General features: G+C 35.4%; 1 protein-coding gene across 2 annotated transcripts in view; it reads right to left on the bottom strand.

Annotated features, from left to right (window-relative positions):
- Positions 1-22,199, bottom strand: part of TYR (tyrosinase) — a 117,885-nt gene that overhangs the window by 89,455 nt on the left and 6,231 nt on the right. For both annotated transcript variants that reach the window (XM_011542970.3, NM_000372.5), the window contains exon 2: positions 14,887-15,103. In XM_011542970.3, coding sequence (XP_011541272.1) covers positions 14,887-15,103 — 217 coding nt within the window. The remainder of the gene's footprint in view (positions 1-14,886; positions 15,104-22,199) is intronic.

Below are 22,199 nucleotides of genomic sequence, written 5' to 3'. Positions count from 1 at the left end.
TTTCCATCCTTTAACTTTCACAAATATTGTTATATCTAAAGTGAATTTCCTCTAGGCTCAATATAGGTCATTTTTAAATAAAATCTAGTCTCCCAATCTCTTAATTGGTATTTTTAGACTATTCACATTTAATATAAGTATTATATAATGTTATGGCTTAAACCTATTTTTTTCCTGTTTGTTACTTTTCTGAATTTTTTGGTTCATTTTTCCTGTCTTCATTTGAGTTGCTTGAAAATGTTTACAAATTCCATTTTTATTTATCAAGTTTTTTGAATGTATTTCTTTGTATCACTTTATTGGTGATTTATCTAAGTATTACATTATTTTTACATAATTTATCTCTGCTGGCATCATCCTTCAACTAGTTCAAATTAAGTGTAAAACCTTATTTGTCTTAAATATTTATCTTATGTTCATTTAGATGAATGACATAAAATTTTATTTTTGTTTCAACCATTAAATCACAATTTAGAAAACTCAACAGAAGTCTGTTGAATTCCCTATATTTTTGCTTAAGAAAGTTTATTTTATCATTTCCCTTCTTCTTAAGAAACTTCTATTAACCATTTTTTTTTCAGGGCAGGTCTGCTTGGTGGTGACAAAATCTTTTCATTTTACTTCATCTGAGGAGACCTTGAGTTCTCCTTCATTCCTGAGTATTTTCCCTGGGCATAGAACACTGGGTTAACAGTTCATTTTTTTCAGCATTTGAAAAATGCAGTGCCACCTTCTGGCCTCCATAGTGTCAAAGGAAAGATCTGTCATTCATTTTTTTCCACAATAGATAAGATATAATTAATTTCTCACTACTTTGAATATTTGTTTTAGTTTTTAGAAGTTTAATAGTGATATATTTTGATGTGGATTGCTATGGGATTTATTAAATTGGGTTTAACTCTGATTCTTTAATTTGTAGTTTCTTTTGCTAAATTTGGGAAGTTTTCAGTCACTATTTCATTGAGTTCTTAGAACTGATTTTTCTCCCCTCTTTCTAGGACACTAATAACACAAAAGTTCAATCATTTTCATGTAGTTATTCAACTCTTTGAGCCTTTTTAATTTTTTTTCCAGTGTGTTTTCTGTTTTTCAGATTTGGTAATTTCTATTTTTCTATCTTCCAGTTCACTTATTCTTTCTTCTTTCCTCTCCATTCTGCTGTTGAACCTAGTATTGAGACTTTTACTTTGGTAACTGTATTTTTTAGTTCTAATTTTGTTTTGTTCTTTGTGATATCTTCCATTTTCTTGCGAAGTCATTCTATTTTTTTCATTTGTTTCAACTATGTTTATAATTATTCATTGAGGAATTCAAAAATGAGTGTTTTAAATCTATTAACTTGGTACAAACGTAATTGCGGTTTTCACCATTCTGTTCAATGGCAAAAACCACAATTACTTTTGCTTCAACCTATTATTTGAGATAATTTTAACATATCTGTTACTTCAGTGTTAACGTCTGCTGTCTTTTTTTTTTTTTTAATTCAAGGATGTAACTTTTCTTAGTATGATAAGGGATTATTTTCTGTTTTCAACCTGGACATTTTGGGTATTTTATGAGACTACAGATCTTATTAAATCTTCTGTTTTATAAAAGTTTATAATCTCAGCTGGGCGCAGTGGCTCACACCTGTAATCCCAGTACTTTGGGAGGCCAAAGTGGGTGGATCACTTGAAGCTAGGAGTTGGGAGCTAGCCAGACCAACATAGTGAAATCCTGTCTCTACTAAAAATATAAAAAAAATTAGCCGGGCTTGTTGGTGGGCACCTGCAATCTGAGCTACTCGGGAAACTGAGGCAGGGGAATCCCAGCTACTCTGGGAGGTGGAGGTTGCAGTGGGCTGAGATCACGCTACTTTACACCAGCCTGGACAACACAGCAAAGACTCCATCTCAAAAAAAAAAAAATGTATAATCTCCTGGCTTTCTCTGACTCAGCTCCAGCAGAAGGGAAACACTGCATTATTACTTTTAAGTAGCAATAGAAGTCCAAGTTCCCCACCGACCTGGCTCCCCACTAGGCCTCTACTGATGTCTTCCTTGCTAGGAGAGGTAAGAATACCCCTCATTACTGCTCCTCAACTACTTTCCCCTAATGCCATGGATTGGGTGGCCTAATTACCACTAGACAGTGCTAGAAGACCTAACTATCCAGTAGGCCTCCTCTGACAACAATCCAGAAGGGAAGAAAGGATTCCTCTTTTTACTGCCTGGTGGGGATAGAATTGCAGGTCCTCCACATTGCCTCCATGTAAAGTAGGAAGAGTGGTTAATTCCTCCCTGGTTGGAATGCAAACTGAGCCTTCTCTTACATCACCCTGGAAGGGAATTGAGGAGGCACCTTGTTATAGCCTAGTAAGGGTAGAAGTCTAGTCTCCCCAGTCAACTTTTGCTGACTTGGGTGGGGATTGTGCCTCAGTTTTTCTGTTTTTGAATTTGAATGAAATAGAGTAGTTACTGTTTAAAACTTTTCTGCACCTTTCTTTGTCATTTGACTAGAGAGAGAAGGCTTTTGTTGGTGTTTTTTTCTTTCTGTTTTGTTTTGTTTTACTTTTGTTTGTACCTCTGGGTGTTTCTAGGTTACAAGCTTCTTCAGCTCCAAATCTTGAATATATGAGGAAAATAAAACCCAGGGGACTCACCATCATACCGTGAGATCCCAATATTCCTAGCTGACCTGGCTTCTTCTCTTCACTATTTACATTCTTTCTGTTTCTTTTATATGCCATGTCCAGAGATTGTGGTTGTATTTAGAGGGACTAATAGAGAAAAGTGTACCTACTTTACCTTCCCAGAAGTAGAAGTCTGTGTTGTATACTTTTGTTATTGACAATCATGTTTCTGTTTTCCCACCAAAATTTCATTGTTTCACACAAGAATTTCTTTTAGATACCTACTCTGAGCAGAGTGGTTAGTGTTGGGTCATATACCAGAGGCAGGGTTGGGAGTTTATCAGAGTCCCCAGCTTTACTTTAGCAGGCTGAAGAAGGCTTTGTAGTGAAGTGGAATTTGTATCAGCCTTGGAGTCAGATGAATTTGGAATAGTAGACTTAACTATGGTTGTTATCAACCATGTGACTATCAGGTTCCCTATCCGTAAAATCAAGGGAAAACCTGTCTCATGGTGTAATTGCAAATTTCAAGTGATTTATTTGAAAATGTACAAGGTATCAGGTGCTCAACAAGTACTAATTTTGTTTTCTCTGTTGCTCACTTGTAATGTGGAAATGCAAGTATCTATTACTTTCTTACTTTAATATAGCCAAGCTTTTTAGATATCAAAGAAGTCTATTTATGTTATATGAATCAAAGGCTAATGATCAGACTTGCAAATTGAAAACAGGCCACTCCTTTTACACTAGAGATTTTACTAAACAGAAAAATCTTTTCATAGAAACAGCATCATTTTTTTCTGTCCTTGAGGTAAGAGGAGCTTGCAATGAAGAGAAGTATAAGCCATGAAATAACGAGTTTTTATAACCATATTTCTACAGTTGATTATAAAATCTGCTCCCCCTCCATTAATTATTACATCTTAAGAAAAGAAATGTGAATATAGTAACCAGCTATAGAGCAGAGCTGCCCTGTATGCCTGATCATAAAAATCATCTGAGGCATTTACTAAAATTAAAGTTTCCTAGGATCCAGCTATACAGTGTGTGTGTGTGTGTGTGTGTGTGTGTATTATGAAAATATATTCTAGTTTTGGCCATGAAACATTATCAACATCAACACGTTAGGACTGCCAAATTGGCGTATATGTAAAACCCTAAAACCAAGTGAACACTAATCACATCTGGAATCAATATATGTGCCAGATAATTTGTAATAGCCAATTAGATCACGTTTGGGAAACACAATGACCTACTATTTACTATAAAAAAAAAACTGCTTCATTTTCATAGCTCAACAGTGTGTGCTTTTACTGTGCAATTTTCATGCTGTCCCTCAACTTTCCAAATACTAGAAGGTTGTGTGTGGACCTCATTCTGTTGAGGGCCCTCAGGATGCACCCAATCCACTGTAGACAACCTCAACAGCCACCAGAGAGAGAAGCAAGGTGACTAATGTACCATTGCAGGAAAACACCTTTTACCCTGCCCCCACAAAAATAAGTGTGTGGGTGTGTGCTCTTTGTATTGATAATAAGGTTTAATATATAAATACAAATAATTATGTGATATATCTATATCTCCACACACACACATATATATATAACATTATTATATAAGTCACTGTGGCTCACTGGAGGTCATAAACACCCCCACTTCCACTGCCAGACCTACTGAACCAAAATCTCTAGAGGAAAGGCCTGATAATGTACGTTGTTAGCCACCATGTCTTTTTGGATTTCGCAAATGTGCCTTTAGATATCAACATTCTTTGACATTTCATCCTGAAAATGCAGAATTGTATTTGAAATTAATAAGGTCTTCCCAGATGCCCTTATTTTTAAAAAAGAAATTATTCTACAATCCCAATATTTTATTGCTTAACAAAATGGGGCCAACAGACCCCTTGAAGTCCCTGAAACTCTTTCAGAGGATTTGCAATGTCAAAACTATTTTCCTAATGATACTATGATGTGATTTTGCCTTTTTCTGTGTTCACATTTGCACTGATGGTGCAAAAGCAATGGTGGGCAAATCTTCTGGTGTCTTAGCACAAATCAAGGTAGTGGCAACCAAGTGTACTGTAATTATTATATTCTTCACCAGCCACAGACTTGCAGTAAAAATGAATAAATGCAAGTTTCACTTAATGTCCATAATGAAGCAAAACAATTTTTTAAACTATCTTTTTTTACATGCCTTTTTAATTTTCTGTTTCACAAAATGGAACCTACATATGCACTATTTATGCTGCATTCTGAAATATGTTCGTCTAGGGAAAAAACATTTGTGCCATTATTTGTGTTGAGAGCTGAAATAATCATGTTTCCCACAGGAAATCATTTTCACTTGAATGTAGGATTCAGAGATAAACTGGCTATTTAGACAGGCATTTGGCAGACTTCTTATGTGAACAAAGCAAGTCTGTCACTTAAACAGAAAAAAAAAGCTAATGGTATTTTTTTTCTTTTTTGCCAATGCTACAATTTGAGTTTTCAAGCAAAAATTTAAATTAAGAAAAATTGATAACATCATTATGAGCTTGTCAATGTCTTCATACTTAAAGATATTTCTGATGAGATTGGTGGTGATATTAATAATGTGATTTTGAATATTGTATAATGAGATATTTTAACATTTGGAAGATCACTTAACTGAGTATTTTACAAATGACCAATGCATGCTATTATAAAATCACTAATGGGTAAAATACTCATTCATGATGCTAGACAGATCAATGGACTTTAATGTAGCAAGGACAAAAAGTTCATTGATATGATTTCAGATTTGACAGTGTAATTAAACTCTGAGGAAATTACCATTTGTGAAGTTTTAGTATCAAAAAGAAAGGATCTACAATTATCTGAAAATGTTTTTAAAAATACTTCTCTCTATTCTGATTACATAGTTGTGTGAGGCTAGATTTTCATCAAGTTCTTCAACCAAACAATAAATTATAATATATTGAATGTAGAAGTAGTCAGATGTAGTGTGTTTTTAAAAAATATAAAGTAATCTCATTCCACTTAGTATTTTTGAAATATTAAAATTATATTATTTATACTATCACATAACAAATTAATTTTTTAAATAAATTAATACAAATATGCAAGATCTTTTTATTTCAGTTTTACAAATGAGAAGTAGTCATAAATATAACCCACATAAATAAAAGCTGGCAGAAATTTTTCATATATTGTAAGAGTTATAAATGGATTCTGAAACCAAAATAGTACAAATCATTAGTGTAGAAGATTACAAAGCAGTCCTATGTATGCATCAGACATTGTTAATTTGTCTTTGATACCTTGAAGTTAGGCCAGGTGTGGTGGCTCAAGCCTGTAATCCCAGCATTTTGGGAGGCTAAGGTGGTGGATCTCTTGAGGTCAGGAGTTTGAGACCAGCCCAGCCAATATGGAGAAATCCCATCTCTACTAAAAATACAAAAAAATTAGCGAGGCATGGTGGCACACACCTATAGTCCCAGATACTCGGGAGACTGTGGCTTGAGAATCCTTTGAACCCGGGAGGCAGAGGTTTCAGTGAGCCAAGATTGCACCGTTGCATTCCAGCCTGGGCTACAGACCAAAACTCCTGAAGTCTTTTAACTCGTATTTGTTTAATAAATGCATAAAATAGAGTTATAAATTTTATTTGCAATATGTATTGCTAATGTGTAGTGATATTTTTCCCAAGACTTATCCCAAGGAAGTGAAATGTCTATATGTCTTAATGCCTGACTCTATACTTAGAAAAGGTGTATTATTATTTTGCTCCATAAAGATCTTCTAGGACCCTCAATTGAATTCTTGGAAAATGACATTATCCCTTTTAAATAGCCATTTTCCACAGCAGTGAGTTCAAATCATGAAAAATTAAACAAAAGCTCTTTAGCTTGGATAAATACACATCATGAAGACTGACAGCCTATGCTAAATTATAAGAGAAGTTGAGAAGACTATTGAAGATTACAGAGAAGGTGGCAGGAGAAAAAGGGAAACATTTTTTGTGTATGTAATAGGAGCTAGATGTACATAAATTCTCATGATAACCTGAGCATGTAATTATTGAAGAAATTTTATAAATGAGGAAGTAGATGCCCAGAATTTTAGAACTGATACTGAAATCCAGTTCTATATGTCTTCAATATCAGTGTTTTCATTGACCCTAAAGGACTCTGCACTAATCTGGGAAGTTTCTCTCTTTCTCTCTTTCCAGTGAATCTTCCTAAGACAGTACTTGCCATAAGATAATACCTGCACCTTTTAATTCAGAGTGAAGATGACACAAGGCTTACATAAATTCACTTTACTTTGTCAATATTCATATTTGGCATGAACAATAAATTGCATATGCCAGTACAACTAGATTCCTCAGGGATCTAGAACTAGAAATACCATTTGACTCAGCCATCCCATTACTGGGTATATACCCAAAGGATTATAAATCGTGCTGCTATAAAGACGCACACATATGTTTATTGCGGCACTATTCACAATAGCAAAGACTTGGAACCAACCCAAATGTACAACAATGATAGACTGGATTAAGAAAATGTGGCACATATACACCATGGAATACCATGCAGCCATAAAAAAGGATGAGTTCATGTCCTTTTTAGGGACATGGATGAAGCTGGAAACCATCATTCTCAGCAAACTATCACAAGGACAAAAAACCAAACACCGCATGTTCTCACTCATAGGTGGGAACTGAACAATGAGAACGCTTGGACACAGGGTGGGGAACATTACACACCGGGGCCTGTCATGGGGTAGGGGTAAGGGGAAGGGATAGCATTAGGAGATATACCTAAGGTAAATGATGAGTTAATGGGTGCAGCACACACCAACATGGCACATGTATACATATGTAACAAACCTGCATGTTGTGCACATGTACCCTAGAACTTAAAGTATAAAAATATATATATATATATGAGAAAAAAGTTACCTTTTGAGTAAAATGAGTGGAATGAGCTTATAATGTAAGGACAGAGACTGTCTCCTAAATTTATTAGAATAATTACTTTGCTGAGAATGGTGCTTTAGTTTAATCAATGAAATGTCCTAGGACTGTTGTGAGGACTAAATAAGATAACATGTGAGGAGTATTAATGTCTGGCACATAGGAATTCTTATTGTTATTATCAGGATTATTGCCTGATCAGAATACCAATGTGGTTATCAAGGTGGTAAATCTGGGGGATTAATTAAAACAGGCCCGGAAAGGTTTTCCTGGTCTGGCAATCATCTTTCAAAACCTTCTGCCTCTCTCGGAGTCAGGGTACACCAAACTACTGAGTTTCTGATTCCCTCAGAATTAGTGAGGAAGATACTAGGGAAATAGTTTAGCCTTCCAATTACTAGAATGCGTCACTCCATGTTAACTATCTCCTTGGCTATCTAGTTTATACAATTAGTGTCAAATGAATTTATTTTTTGAATCTGTGTGACCTTTTTTTTTGTTGTTGTTGTTGCATGAACTAAGGAAGTCCATTTCTCAGGCAGGAAGACTGAAAACTAGATTACCTATGGAGGCTTCATTGTAGTTTTCCAGCTGGCTTTTCTCTGCAAATACACACACTATTCTTGTTTAAATGTCATTAAAAATTTCAAAACTTCCCTTGTTTCTCATTAAAGCCCACAGCTCATTTACCACTCTGTAGATTGCTCCTTAAAAAGTCCTTGCATGTGAAGTGGTGAAATAGTTCCTAGTGAAGTGTTTGATAGTGACATTGAAACAAAAAGAGCTGAAGGGCTGCAGAAAAAAAGTTAAGGTTCTAGAGAAGGAAGCATAATATCAGCTTTATAAGTGCTGTTATATGAAGAGAAATTACATTTTTAAAATGACGTATAGCTTACTAGGACAAAAACAAGGACCAATTGTTAGAAATCAATCACAGATGTGTCAGAATCATCCTGAACTTGTTGCTTTCCTTGCTGCCTTACAGTCAGTCACCGAGAGCTTCTGATTCTGTATACTAACCAACTCATCTTCATCCTCATTCTCACTACTTTAGATCAAGCTCTCATCCATGACTCCCCCCAATAGCTCACTGATTATCTTTCTGCATTCTACTAATGCCACTAACATCATATCTTTTGAAGTATAGGTAGGATAATATCAATTCCTTGTTTAATAACCTATCACAACTACCCTTGTCAATGGCATGTTTTCAAGGCAAATTTTTCAGACATACTTTTGAAGATAAGAATGTTATGGTTTTTAAACATTGGGTTTTTATGGTGATGACAGCTAACATTTAATGTATTACGAATGAATTTATAACTCTTTAAAAGTGAAGATTTGAAAGAATCTTAGAATAAACTTCAGTTTCTTAATTCTGTAGGGATTTGTGAACATATTCCTAGAGGCCTATAATGTGTTTTTTTCCTTCAAGAAGATTGAGAGACACTGGTATACACGGATTTTTCTAAACTCCTTACATCTCTTGTTATTTCCCACTACAAACTCAATATTCTAGCCACGTAGAACTTCTCATTTTTTGGTAACTCATCTCACACTTTCACACCTCTGTGTCATTGCATATGTTGTTCCCTCTGCTGGAAATGCCTCTCCTCCTCTTCTCTGCTCAGTGAGCAGTTACTGATATTTCAAGATCCAATTCTATTTTCACCTCCTTAGGAAATATTTCTGGTGTATCTGGGTTCCTACCTCATTTTATATCAATTACCATTTTATGTATTTACGTGGAGTTTCTTCACTTGATGGTGAGCTTTTCAGTAAGATAAGCTGTGTAAGTCATCTTTGTATTTTTTTGTACTTCCATAGTATACCATAATACCAGGTTCATGGATGGCTCTATTTAAGTCGAATGGAATTAGATTTTGGTTTAGCCTAAAGAACTTCATGTTTTCCCTTGTGGGGTAGGTTTTCCCTTGATGGGTCACATGGTGGTGTTATCCCAATGGGCATCTTAGCATAGTGTGGGATGTCGGACTGAATATACTGAGAAGTCTCCTCCAATAGTAAGTTTCCATAGTCATAAACTGCATTTGTTAGAAGGGGGTGGTTTGAAACAATATATGATCAACCAAGATTGACTTGGTCCTACCTATGATTAATTTGATTTTACACTATTCTTGGTATATGTAAGTTTTACAATGAAGGTAGTTTTCTTTTATTTATTGATTTATCAGTCTGTCAGCCAATACTTAATGAGCACCTACTATAGGCAGCCACTGTGCTCAGAATTGGAAACACACCATTAAACGCCAAGAAGTTGTTCCTTGTTCCTGTCTCCTTTTTCCCTTTTGGGTAACAGAAGATACCTTTGTTCCTGCTGTCACCTCATTTTTGAAACTTGTCCTGAAATCCTATCTGTCTCCAGAAACATTATTTATTTTTGGTTCTATCTTCATGAATTTTCCATCCTCCCCTTTCCCTTATTTTTCCACTAAATGTAGGCCATTATAATATATTTTCTCAGGACTCACTGTAAACTTACTTTGTTAAGCTAATTGCCAGAGAAGTTAATGATTGCTAAGTTGTCAGTAACTAACCACAGCTTAACACAATACTGTTGTGCCCTTTGTTGAAAAAATGTTCTAACTACCTTACATGTATTGCATCATTTAATTCTTTGAATCTTATACATTATTATTGTTATCCACATTTTACATATGAGAAGTTAAATAACATACCCAAGGTCACACATCTAGGAAGTGGTTGAGCTAGGATGTAATCCTAGTCAGTTTGATTACTTTTAACCAATTCATTGAAATTTCAGTCCCCATGTCCCATTCTCCAACAGTGCTATTAAAAAAATAAATAAAAGAAAAAGTAAACAAAAAATCTCTTGTAAACTCTGAAATACAGGACATAATGGATAGAGAGTTTCATGAGAGAAAATTTCTGTTTTAATGTGACAACTGACACTGCACAGGGTCCCCTATTTAACCTAATCAGAAAACTTCTTATAATACAGACTTATTTTTCTTTGCTTTATCTAGAAACATGAGGTTTTTATTTTATTTTTATTTATTTATTTATTTATTTATGGGAAGAGTCTCACTCAGGCTGGAGTGCAGTGGCATGATCTAGGCTCACTGCAGCCTCTGCCTCCTGGGTTCAAGCGATTCTCCTGCCTCAGCCTCCCAAGTAGCTGGGATTACAGACATGTGCCACCATGCCTGGCTAATTTTTGTATTTTTAGTAGAAACGGGGTTTCTCTATGTTGGCCAGGCTGGTCTCAAGCTCCTGACCTCAGGTGATCCACCTGCCTTGGACTTCCAAATTGCTGGGTTTACAGGCGTGAGCCACCACACCCGGCCATGTGGTCTCTCTTACACAATTCACAAATTACACATCTTCACTATTTCAGCAATGAAATCTAAGAGGAAAGCTGAGTTTACTTAAATAACTTCAGTAGACAAAAATAAAACAGTTCCTTTGTCCTAGCAATGACTATGAATATTTTGTTCCATGGGAAGTGCATTATACACTTCTCACGAGACCAAGAAAGAAAAGGAAGCAATAACTTTGAGGTATAATCAAAAGTAACAATTCCATTTCATATGCATTTATTGAGAGAGCAGAGTATAATTTTGACATTTGCTCTCCTCTCAAGTCCTACTGTCCTCACTGCTATATTCACTTGTGTACTCCTTATAGACCAAGACACCCCACATCCCTGTCCTATTCATGATGTGAGATAAAATGTGTCTCTCTGGTGAGGAAAACTTGCTTCCGAATCTTGATCTTGAGTTTCCTTCCCAATGAAAGAAAACATTACTCCTTGGAGTCATGGCTAATTTCAGGCCTGGAGCATTGTAGGTACAAGATGCTCTAGAATAATTTGCTTACCAGAGAGAATGTGTGTTTTAAAAAATGTGTATATGAAATGGAGACATAAGAACCAGCTTGAAGGTGTACCATGGGCAAATTCTGGAACCATTGGAACACAAAGATAATTAAGCACATCAATGAGTTATACACTATCAAACAATGGAAAGCCTTTACTCCATACCATTAATATAGATAGATGATAGATAGATAGATAGATAGATAGATAGATAGAAAAAATGGAGGATTTTTGCTAATAGTAGAATCCTGAATATTGGCTAATAAATTTAAAAGCAGTGCTGAAGTTGAAAAATCATAAATTTGTAACCATCGACGATGCCAACTGTAGAAGAAATTGTGATAAGAGGTGAGGTATTTGCATAGTCTTAAAATGTCTCCATGTAGACAGTTTATTAAACAAGGGGAAGAAATAATTATACAGTGGGAAAATTGGACCACATCTGGAGTAGGTGATTAACATCACCAACGTGAGACAGATGGTCATGATGTGCCTCCAGATGTGACACCATCTCAGAAAGATGCATAATCACCTATGTGGAATTTTGGCTAATAGTGCATTACCTGGATCTAGTCATGAAGAAATATTAGATACACTCAAAATGAAGAATGTTCTATTAAAAAAATGAGGAGGAAGAGGAGGAACTATATCCTCCAGAGCTGTCAAGCACATAAAGACACATATGTACAAGGTTATGGAAATATTTCAGACTAAAGAACCATGAAAACTAAATGCTATTTGATCCTAGACTAGATTCTATTTTGGAGAGGAAAAATACTGAGGATATTATTATATCTAATTTTAAAAACTGATATACAGTAGATTTGATAAAAGCATTATATCAATATAGAGTTTACTGAAGTTGAAAACTGTTCTGTGGCTATATGAGTCTATTCCTATTCTTAGGAAATACACACTAAAATATTCAGGGGTAAAGAGTTACAGTCTATGCAATTTACCCTTAAAATGGCTCAGACTGGGAGAGAGAGAGAGAGAAACAGGATACAATGTAAGTAAGTTTGGGTAAAATATATATTCATGTTTTTTGTATTGCTTTTATTTTCACAACATCTCTGTAAGCTTAAAATTATTGCTGAATACAAATTTAAGAAAAAATAATTTTAAAATGTGTACCTGGTAAAGAAAAGTTCTTCTTAGCAGCTGAGCTTAATGGTTTCTCACATTTTCTCTCATGACATGGACTTCATACAACAGGCATGGATAAGGTAAGTGGTGGTTTAGATGCAATTTGAAAGATTCTAGCTATTATTTACATACTCGGTTATCAGATACTTACCGAACGACTGTGTGCCAGACAATATGCTATGTTGCATCTGTTTGCTTCTCACACACTTTGCCTACTAAAGTGTGTAAGAATGAGAATAAATTATGGGAAAAAATAATTTACAAACATAAATTATTTGTAGTAGCAAATTATTTGTAGTAAATCTGCTGTTCCCTCCTCACCTGTGTGTATTAGACTCTCACTTGAAAACCACTGGCTGAGTTGACACATCTTGAGCCACTTTTTTTCTTTGACTTGAGACCCTAGACGAGTGATGTTCCCCTGCCTTATTTCTGCAACTAACCCATGCTTCTTAATAATAAAATATATGCTTTGTCACTTATGGCTGAAAAAACAGCAAAATGCTCCAGTTTCCTTAAAGATGTAGCTTCGCTTTGCAATGTCATTAATATCAGCATTCTGAGTACTGTTGTTAATCCCTGAAGAGTCCAGTGGGTCACCCAATCCTCCCAGATGGTGACTTTGAAATTGTGTACCTTAGATTTGTTATATAGGCTCTGAGATTACCTGGCATTATGTCTTGCCTTCTTATGTCAAAAGACCAAACTGGTATTGTCCACTTTAAAGAAACTCTCAACCCACTGTTGATTATCAGAGTGCAATGGAAAGAACTTGGACTTTGGTACTTGATAAAGCTGGGGGCAGATTATCTCCACCACTTTTCAATGGGAATCAATAACCAAAAGATGAATATCTCTGATAATGTTTCCTCCCTTAAAAGTGGGAATAATAAATACAATCTTCCTCAGGGGATAGTTATTAGAATTGAGTGAATTAATGCCATACAAAGTGTTTGACATGGTGTTTTGGATACGGTGATTACTTTAAAAAGTTAATCATGAATATTACCATAGAAGAATAAACCTAATTTCTATTTTCATAGCTGGAAAACAGAATTCATCTTTAGGATGAGACTTGCCTTGCTTCAATTGATTCTGGATGTAAGACCCTGAGATTATGGTTTTGAATAAAACAGGGAAATGAATGAAACAGTAAAACCACTCTGCACAGTACAATAATAAAAGTTGGGGTGTAAAACAATGACAAAAAGGAAAAAAAAAGAACAAGTCAAGGAGAAAGGATTACAAAAGAGAGGAAAGTTTTTCTACATGTTAAGGTGTCACAGGCCTTTTAGGAGCTGCGATGTCTAGTGTTAAATTTTGAGTTGTCTGCCTTGCCACAAGTCAGTGCCTATGTCTTCCCCAAACTCCTGGTAAATTTGTGACTTGATTGAGTTTTTTTTTGTTTGTTTTTGTTTTGTTGTGTTTGTTTGTGATTTTGTTTTCCTAATGCAAATTTATGTGAGTGAAATGGGTTTCATGACTGAGTCAGCTATAAGCAGAAAAGAATGAATCGATGTTTGAATGCAAAATGCAAGCAAGATGAAAACATTTGTAGGATAAATATTTAGGAGTTAGAGAAGATCATGAGATGTAATCTCTGATGAAGAACAGAAAACTTAAGGGATAATGAGAGGGAGGCTTTACCTATGTGCTGTGTCCTTATTACAGTTAAATGAATGAACTTACCTCAAAGAACCCACTGCCTAGAATATTTTAAACAGGAGAAAACTAAAACACTAAAACGTAGGAAAATAGTATCAGTCCACAGACTTATATCTGAAATTCCACAATACAAAATGTTCTGGAAATGAAATTAATTTTTCTCTTTTAATGGAAAAAACTGACTTTACTCACCATTAGGTTGCCTATTGCCTGTATTTATTACCATGATGAATATATTCATATATTTCACTAAAGCTGCTACTGCTGCTTCTTCTGCTTCTGCTGCTGCTTCTTTCCTCAGAGTCTCTCACTTTGTTACCGAGGCTGGAATGCAGTGACACAATCATAGCTCACTGCAGCCTGAAACTTCTGAGTTCAAGTGATCCACCTGTCACAGCCTCCCAAGTAAACTGGGATTACAGGCATGAGCCACCATGCCTGGCTCCTGAAGCTAACACGTTGAATTATAACGTGCTGACCAGTGTCAGCTAGGGTCATTGTCGATATAAGTATATACAACACATATTCTTGGTCAACTCAGAAAATTCTGAATTCTCAAATACCTCCTAGGACTTTGGATAAGAGACTGTAAATATGAATTCAGAAAAAAAATTAAAAGTGAAAAGAAAGAGATTACCTTCCAGTGTATTTCTAAAGCTGAAATTGGCAGCTTTATCCATGGAACCAGATTCATATTGGGTCAAACTCAGGCAAAATTCTACATCAGCTGAAGAGGGGAGCCTTGGGGTTCTGGATTTGTCATGGTTTCCAGGATTACGCCGTAAAGGTCCCTCGGGCGTTCCATTGCATAAAGACTGATGGCTGTTGTACTCCTCCAATCGGCTACAGACAATCTGTACAAAACACCCTCATGTTAAACAAATTGTCACCACCACTGAGTCAGTAGGAGAAGGCAGAAATGTTGGAACTCCTAATTATCGTTGTTAGACTTCTCCTGAGGAGATTACTACAATCATGTGTCTTTAATGACAGGGATATGTTCTGAGAAATCCATCATTAGGTGATTTTGTCATTGCGTGAACATCATAGTCAGTGTACTTGCACAAACCTAGAATGGTATAGCCTACTAAACATCTTGGCTGTTTGGTAAAACCTACTGCTCCTAGGCTACAAATCTGTCCAGCACATTACTGTACTGAATACTATAGGCAATTGTAAGATAATGGCAAGTATCTATACATCTAAACCTATCTAAACATGTAAAAGGTACAGTAAAAATACAGTATAAAATTTTTTTTTAAATGGCATACTTGTATATACAGGACACTTACCATAAATGGACCTTGCAGGACTAGAAGTTGCATTGGGTAAGTAAGTGAGGGAATAAGGAGTGAATATAAAGGCCTAAGATACTACTCTACACTACAGTAGATTTTATAAACACTATATATATATCGGCTACATTAAATTTATAAAAATATTTTTCTTTTTTAATGATAAATTCACCTTAGCTTCCTGTAACTTTTTTACTTAATTTTTTAAAACTTTTTGAGTCTTTTGATAATAGCACTTAGCTTAAAACACATATTGTACAACTGTAGGAAATATTTATTATATCCTTAGCCTATAAGCTTTATGCTATTTAATTTTTTACTTATTATAAACATAATTGAAATTTCGTTAAAAACTGAGACACAAGCATACACACTAGCATAGGCCTACACAGAGTCAAAGTTGTCAATATCATTGTCTTCCACCTCCACATCTTGTCCCACTGGAAAATCTTCAGGGGCAATAGTACACATGGAGCTATCATCTCTATAACAATCTCTATAAAACATCCAGGCGTTTTGTGGAACACCTCCTGGAGAGCCTGCCTGAGGCTGTTTTACAGTTAACTTACTTTTTTATAAGTGGAAGAAGTACATTCGAAAATAATGATAAAATATAGATAGTAAATACATAAACCAGTAACATAGTTGTTTATTATCATTATCAAGTATTATGTAGTGTACATAATGCTATGTGCTAGACTTTTATACAAGTGGGATTTCAGTAGGTTTACACCAGCATCACCACGAAGACATGAGTAATGCATTGTGTATAATATTATGACTGCTATGATGTCACTGGGTGACAGGAATTTTTCAGCTCCATTATAGTAGTGTGGGACCTCTGTCATATATGTGGTCCATCCTTGACAGAAATGCCATTGTGTGGCATACTACTGTATTTTAGAATTAGCTTTTTGAAGGTTACAGAATGAGCCATAAAAGTTAAAACCTGGAACAGGATTCTAGTGTTGCATCTACCACTTAAGAAAATGATTTAACTGTCTAGGCCTCATCTATCAAATGAAGATAATAACAACTACCTCACATAGTTATAGAAAATAAAATATTTATTAAACACCTATTATATATTAAGCACTGTGCCAAGTGCTGAGGCTGGGGTTGGTAACAATAGAGATAGGCATCTTACTGTATATAAAGCCCATAGCACATGGCATGACCAACAGAAAACACTCAATAAACAGTAGCTTTAAAAACATTAATCTATATTATATTCAGAATGTCAAGGACTAGAAATAGTTTCATTTTGTGCTTTTTGTTCATAAAATATCCTATTATTGTCCCTTTTTTTTTTGATGTGCAGTACAATACTCGTGGTTGATTGTTTTTTAAGAAAAGAAATTTCTCTGATCCTTTAGCTAGAACCAAGGTGATTTTCATTGTAGAAATACCGTCTTAAAAATAAGAATTTCTCACCTTTCTATAAGCAAAACTTTTTAAGAAAACACGGCACATGCATTGTTTCATTTACATCACAAAACAATACATTTCGCTTCACAAATAAGGAAAATGAGACTCAGAGAGGGTAAGTGGCATTTCTCAGGTTATATGGCAAATAAATGGCAGTGTTGTGATGGCAACCCAAGTTTTCCAACTTCATCTTTAGTGTATTTTGTGCTTTTATAACTAGTCTAGCAGAACTCAACATTAAAAAATTTTTAAAAGTAGGTTCTAGGTTAAAATAAAATAGAGAGTTCTAGTCCTGTATCTCAGTTGTGGCTGACAACAGGATGTTGTTCTTTGTTGGTTTCCCTAAACCTTGATCAAATTTTTCTAAATAAACTGTCTTAATATAACTTGGTTTGGGTATCTATTTCCTACTGAGATCCTGACTGATGCAAACATTATTTCCTACTGATCTTTCCCTTTCCCTCTCTTCTATAACTTCACTGGCCTCTTTGCCCTTCCCAAAACTCACCAATCACTCTTATGCAACATGTTCCTGTACTGGTTATTTTTTCTGGGTAGACTGTTTTCCCTTGATACCTGCTTGGGTTATTCATATCTTCATTATCTTAATGAAATCTACACTAAACATCTATTTAACATCATATTCAGCCTTACCCACTTTAGCAGTGTTGTAGAGCTGGTTAGCACTAGCTAGCAAAAGTTCAAAGTGTGTAACCCTTCTCAATATTAGAATGTTCAGCAGTATCCCATCATTAGATGGAAATCTACCATTGTCAGTATTTACACCACAACAATTGGCAAATCAGAATCATCTCTCCCTACTTTCCCACTCCTCCATTGAGAACAAGTTATTAAACATTTACTGTACACCACTAATTTCTGCTTTATCTGTGCACTTAGCACCTTCTAACAAACTATGTAATCAAAAGAACTCTCATAGAATGATTGATTTATTGTTGCTGCTTTTCAAACCGAAGTTTTAAAATGTCTATGTGTCAGGCATTATACCAGAATACAAGAATACATACTGAACACGATAAACATAGTTTTTATTTTTATAGAGTTTACAGTCTAATAAGTATGGTCATGAAGATTTAATGTCTATACCATATTGCCTTATTCATTGACTTAAACATTTTTAATAAGTATTAGCATTTTAAGTATTGAGTACTTTATGTAACTTACCTTCTAGTGGAGTAGGTCTAGGAAGTGTGAGTGGGTGAGACAGTAAAACAATATATATAACTTATTATATTTTTTAACTCCTTTAACTTTTTTAAATAAAATATTATATATAATGTTTTACTGTCTCACCACACACACTTACTAGACCTACTCCACTAGAAGATAAGTTACATAAAATACTCAATACTTAAAGTGCTAATATTTTTGTAAATGAATTTTTAAATCAATGAATAAGGCAATATGGTGTATATATTTAATCTTTATAAACATACCTGTTAGGTGATAAACTCTATCAAAATATAAACTGTATCCTATTCACTATGTATTATTGTGTAATGGTATGGTGCCTGACACAAAGACATTTGAAAACTTTGGTTTGAAATTCAATAACAGTAAATCAATTATTCTATGAGAGGAGTTCTTTTGATATTTCCATCTCATCAATGAGAAAACAGGCTTATAGAGGTTAAGTGGCTTCATCAAACATTTATAGTTTATAAAACGGGGGGAGTTAATATTTGAATATAGACTACATGATTTAAAGCTTAAATCTTAGCAAGTATCTTAAATGAAAATTCCATTTCCTGGCTACCCATTCCCACATAAAGGCACTCTAGTCATCTTCCCCTGTCATCTCTTGGCCAATGAGTTTGTTATGAACCTTCAAAGACTCCATATTATAAAATCCAATTATCCCTGCAAGTCCCCATGTTAAGATAGCATTAGGCACAGTTGACCACTTTCATTTTCACAAAACACATTCCTCTATGTACTGATTTCTATAATCACATCCCCTTTGATTTTTGCCTTTCTCTCTTGCTGTTACTACTTGGTGTGTCCTACTAGCTCTTCCTCGTCTGTCTTACCTGTAAATATTGTGGTGCTCTAGGCAGGACTGGCTATGCAATTTGCAGCACCAGATAAATGTTGAGGCCTTGGCTGGGGGTAGGGAAATCAATATTCACTTTCTCAATCTACAGGGAATAGGTATCCCACAGTCTCAGTCTATAGTGAATAGGTGACTCCCTAGGGATTGAAACCTCCATGCTAAGACTTGTTTGAGTAGGTGGGTAGATTAGTTCAGGCTGCCATAAGAAAATACTACAGACTGGGTGGCTTAAACAGCAGACATTTATTTTCTCAAAGTTCATGAGTTTGGAAGTCCAAGATCAAGGTATCTGCTGAGGCCTCTCTTATGTCTTGCAGAGGAAACCTTTTCTCTGTCTTCACATTGCCGTTTCTCTACGCATACACAAAGAAAGAGATGGCTCTGTCTTTTTTGTCTTCTTATGAGGACATCAGTACTGTTGGATTAGGACCCCACTGTTAATGACCTCACTTAACCTCAATTACTTCCTTAAAGACCTACCTCCAAATAGTCACACTGGAAATTAGGGATTCAACACACACATTTTTGGGAGACACAATTCAGTCCATAATACTGGCTGAGAGGTCTATATGTAATCACCTGTGCACCGTGCTAAGGTGCAGCCAGCCTCGGTAGAGAAGGCCTCTGTTTTACTCTGAACCAACAAATCATGGGATCAACACCCAACCTCACACCTCTTTTTGCTTGCACCAAGGACCCCACCAGGGATGGAGAGTGACAGTGAAATGTTGACCTCTTTCCTCCCACCAGTGGCCTTGGGCAGAGGGTGAGGAGGTGGAAACTAGGTAGGGCTGGTGGATGGGTAGTGGTAGCCAAGACCCATCCCAGGAAAACAAAGAACAAAAGGTCTGCAGGATGCATATGAACCAAGCATATGCTCCATTGTCCCTATAACTTCACTTATAAAGCACAAACCCAAAGATAAGATTAATAAGAATTTCAACACCAAGACCACAGATCATTAAACCTCAAATGTAGGGTCTGCTTCTGAGCATGGAGCATTGTGCGATGGCACTGCTTTTATATTGGCAATTCTACCTCCAAAAAATATCTCGAGTCAGGCAACCATTCTCCATGTGCTCACATCCTGTGTGATCCTGCTGCTAAAGTCAGATGGCCTACTTTCTCTGGACACTGCTTGTGCTTCTCCATTCCATGACTCTGATTGTGGCTAAGCATGCCCACTCTTTGCCATGCATCTAATATCCTACCCATTCTTTAAGGCCAAAGCAAATAATTAGTAAAAACAGGCATTGTTGACTCTGACTTTAAAAGTAACTCAAAAGGGGCTGACTCTGAATGTAAAAACATTTCAGGAATCCTTCACCAAATTATTTTTCTTGTAGTTTCATTTATATGGAGGCAGAAGAATAAACTATGATAAAAATATGTGACTACGTAAGCCAAAAAGGGCTTTTAAGATAAATATATTTTTTTATTTTTCTTAGTGGTACATAAATGAATGCATCACTTAAATTCATTGATACCTTAGATTTAATAAAATAGAGTAATTAGGTAGTGAGAGATACATTCGAAGCAAAAGATGAAATTCAGGAGAGTCCACCCTGCCGTCATTGACTGTTCACAACAGGTGCATGCTTCCGTGGGAGGCTTGGGGCCACTAGGGAGATAACATTGTTCTTTACCCAACTTACACTTACTCATTTTCGTCTCTAATAAACAATGATTGTTACGTCCCTTATAAAAACGCATCCTTCATGAAGACACATTTATTTTCACATTGTTGTTTATTTCTTTTCTCTCAGAATCTAGTACAGTTTCTAGCACCCTGTTGATGTGCAGTAAGAATTTGTTGGATGAATGAACAGAGTCAGTGGATGAGCCAAAGAATCTCCTACAAAAAGTATGTGTTGAGTGCTCATTTTTCTTGGTCATGTTGTTGGTACCACCTTTACCATAGAATATATTTCTAGAACTTATTTTTTTAAACCTATATTGAGTCACTACTCTGTCCTAGGCCATAAGGGAGATATCTCCATATACATTAAAATTAGAAATTCTCACAACTACCCTGTGGATTTTTATGATTTTATCTCTATTTTCATGATGAGGATACTAAGCCAGACTGTGGAAGACTACAAAAGGCTAACGGGATATAAAGACCCATGTTATGATTTATAATTTTGTGAACAGTAGGCGAGACGTATAGAATAATAATTTGAAGGTAAAATGTCTTCCCGGTCAACTGTTTGCATCACATTTGAAAATAATCAAGACTATTTTATTGGTCCTCCTATCCCACTGAATTTGCTATCTATAAGCATGTATAAACAAATGTAGTCATCTCAAATAGAATTGAATGGGCAGTCCCCCCACCATAGATGGCTGCTACTGTGTTAGATAAGAAATGCTTAGAGAACCTACTCTTAATTTTTGGTCACTAAGACATAACTTAAGAATTTATGCATTGTGTGGTAGAGAAAAAATTGGGCTCCGTAATACAGGTAGATGCAACTTCAATTCTGGCTAATTTTCTTACTGGCAATGAACATGTTTTTTAGACTTGCTAAATCTCAATTTTTTTAAACTGTACTATGACATAATATACGAAAAGAAACTATTCAACAAATAATTTCTGTTTCAACAAATGCCAGTTTCTAGTTTGCCTTATACCTCATAACGTTCCTAAATCCTTTTATCCATATATAATTGAGAACTAGAACTGTTGAGTGACTTGTCTTAGGGCCATATGATATTTAGAGTCAAAACCAAAGCACTGAAACACAAGTTTCCTTATTCTGAAGCAATACCCACTACATTAATTATGACGTGTTAATGGCTTAGGAATGGTTGAATAAAACTAACCTAACTTTTACATTGAATGTAATATGTTGGATGCTTTTATAATTTGGGTTAACTGGACGCTACAAGTATGTAGACTAAATCATTTTTATTCCTCTTTGAGTAATCTCAGGATATTTTCAAAAGATCCTGCTGCCTTAAAGACTCCTACAGCCAACTCAGTTAAATTAGAGAGGCTTGAATGAAACTATTTTTGCTGAAATGCCAACTGCCAAGTGACTAAGTGTTCGGATGACTGGAGGTATTACTAACGAGGAGAAAATCTACCCTGGTTCCAGAAATAATTTGAAAAACTCCAAACCTTAGTCTTTACACTGCATACAGGAGAGG

This window comes from Homo sapiens, chromosome 11 (assembly GCF_000001405.40).
Source record: "Homo sapiens chromosome 11, GRCh38.p14 Primary Assembly".
NCBI classification, from domain to species: Eukaryota; Metazoa; Chordata; class Mammalia; order Primates; family Hominidae; genus Homo; species Homo sapiens.
Note: the sequence above shows the minus strand (reverse complement) of the source record. Positions and strands in the feature narration are given on the sequence as shown.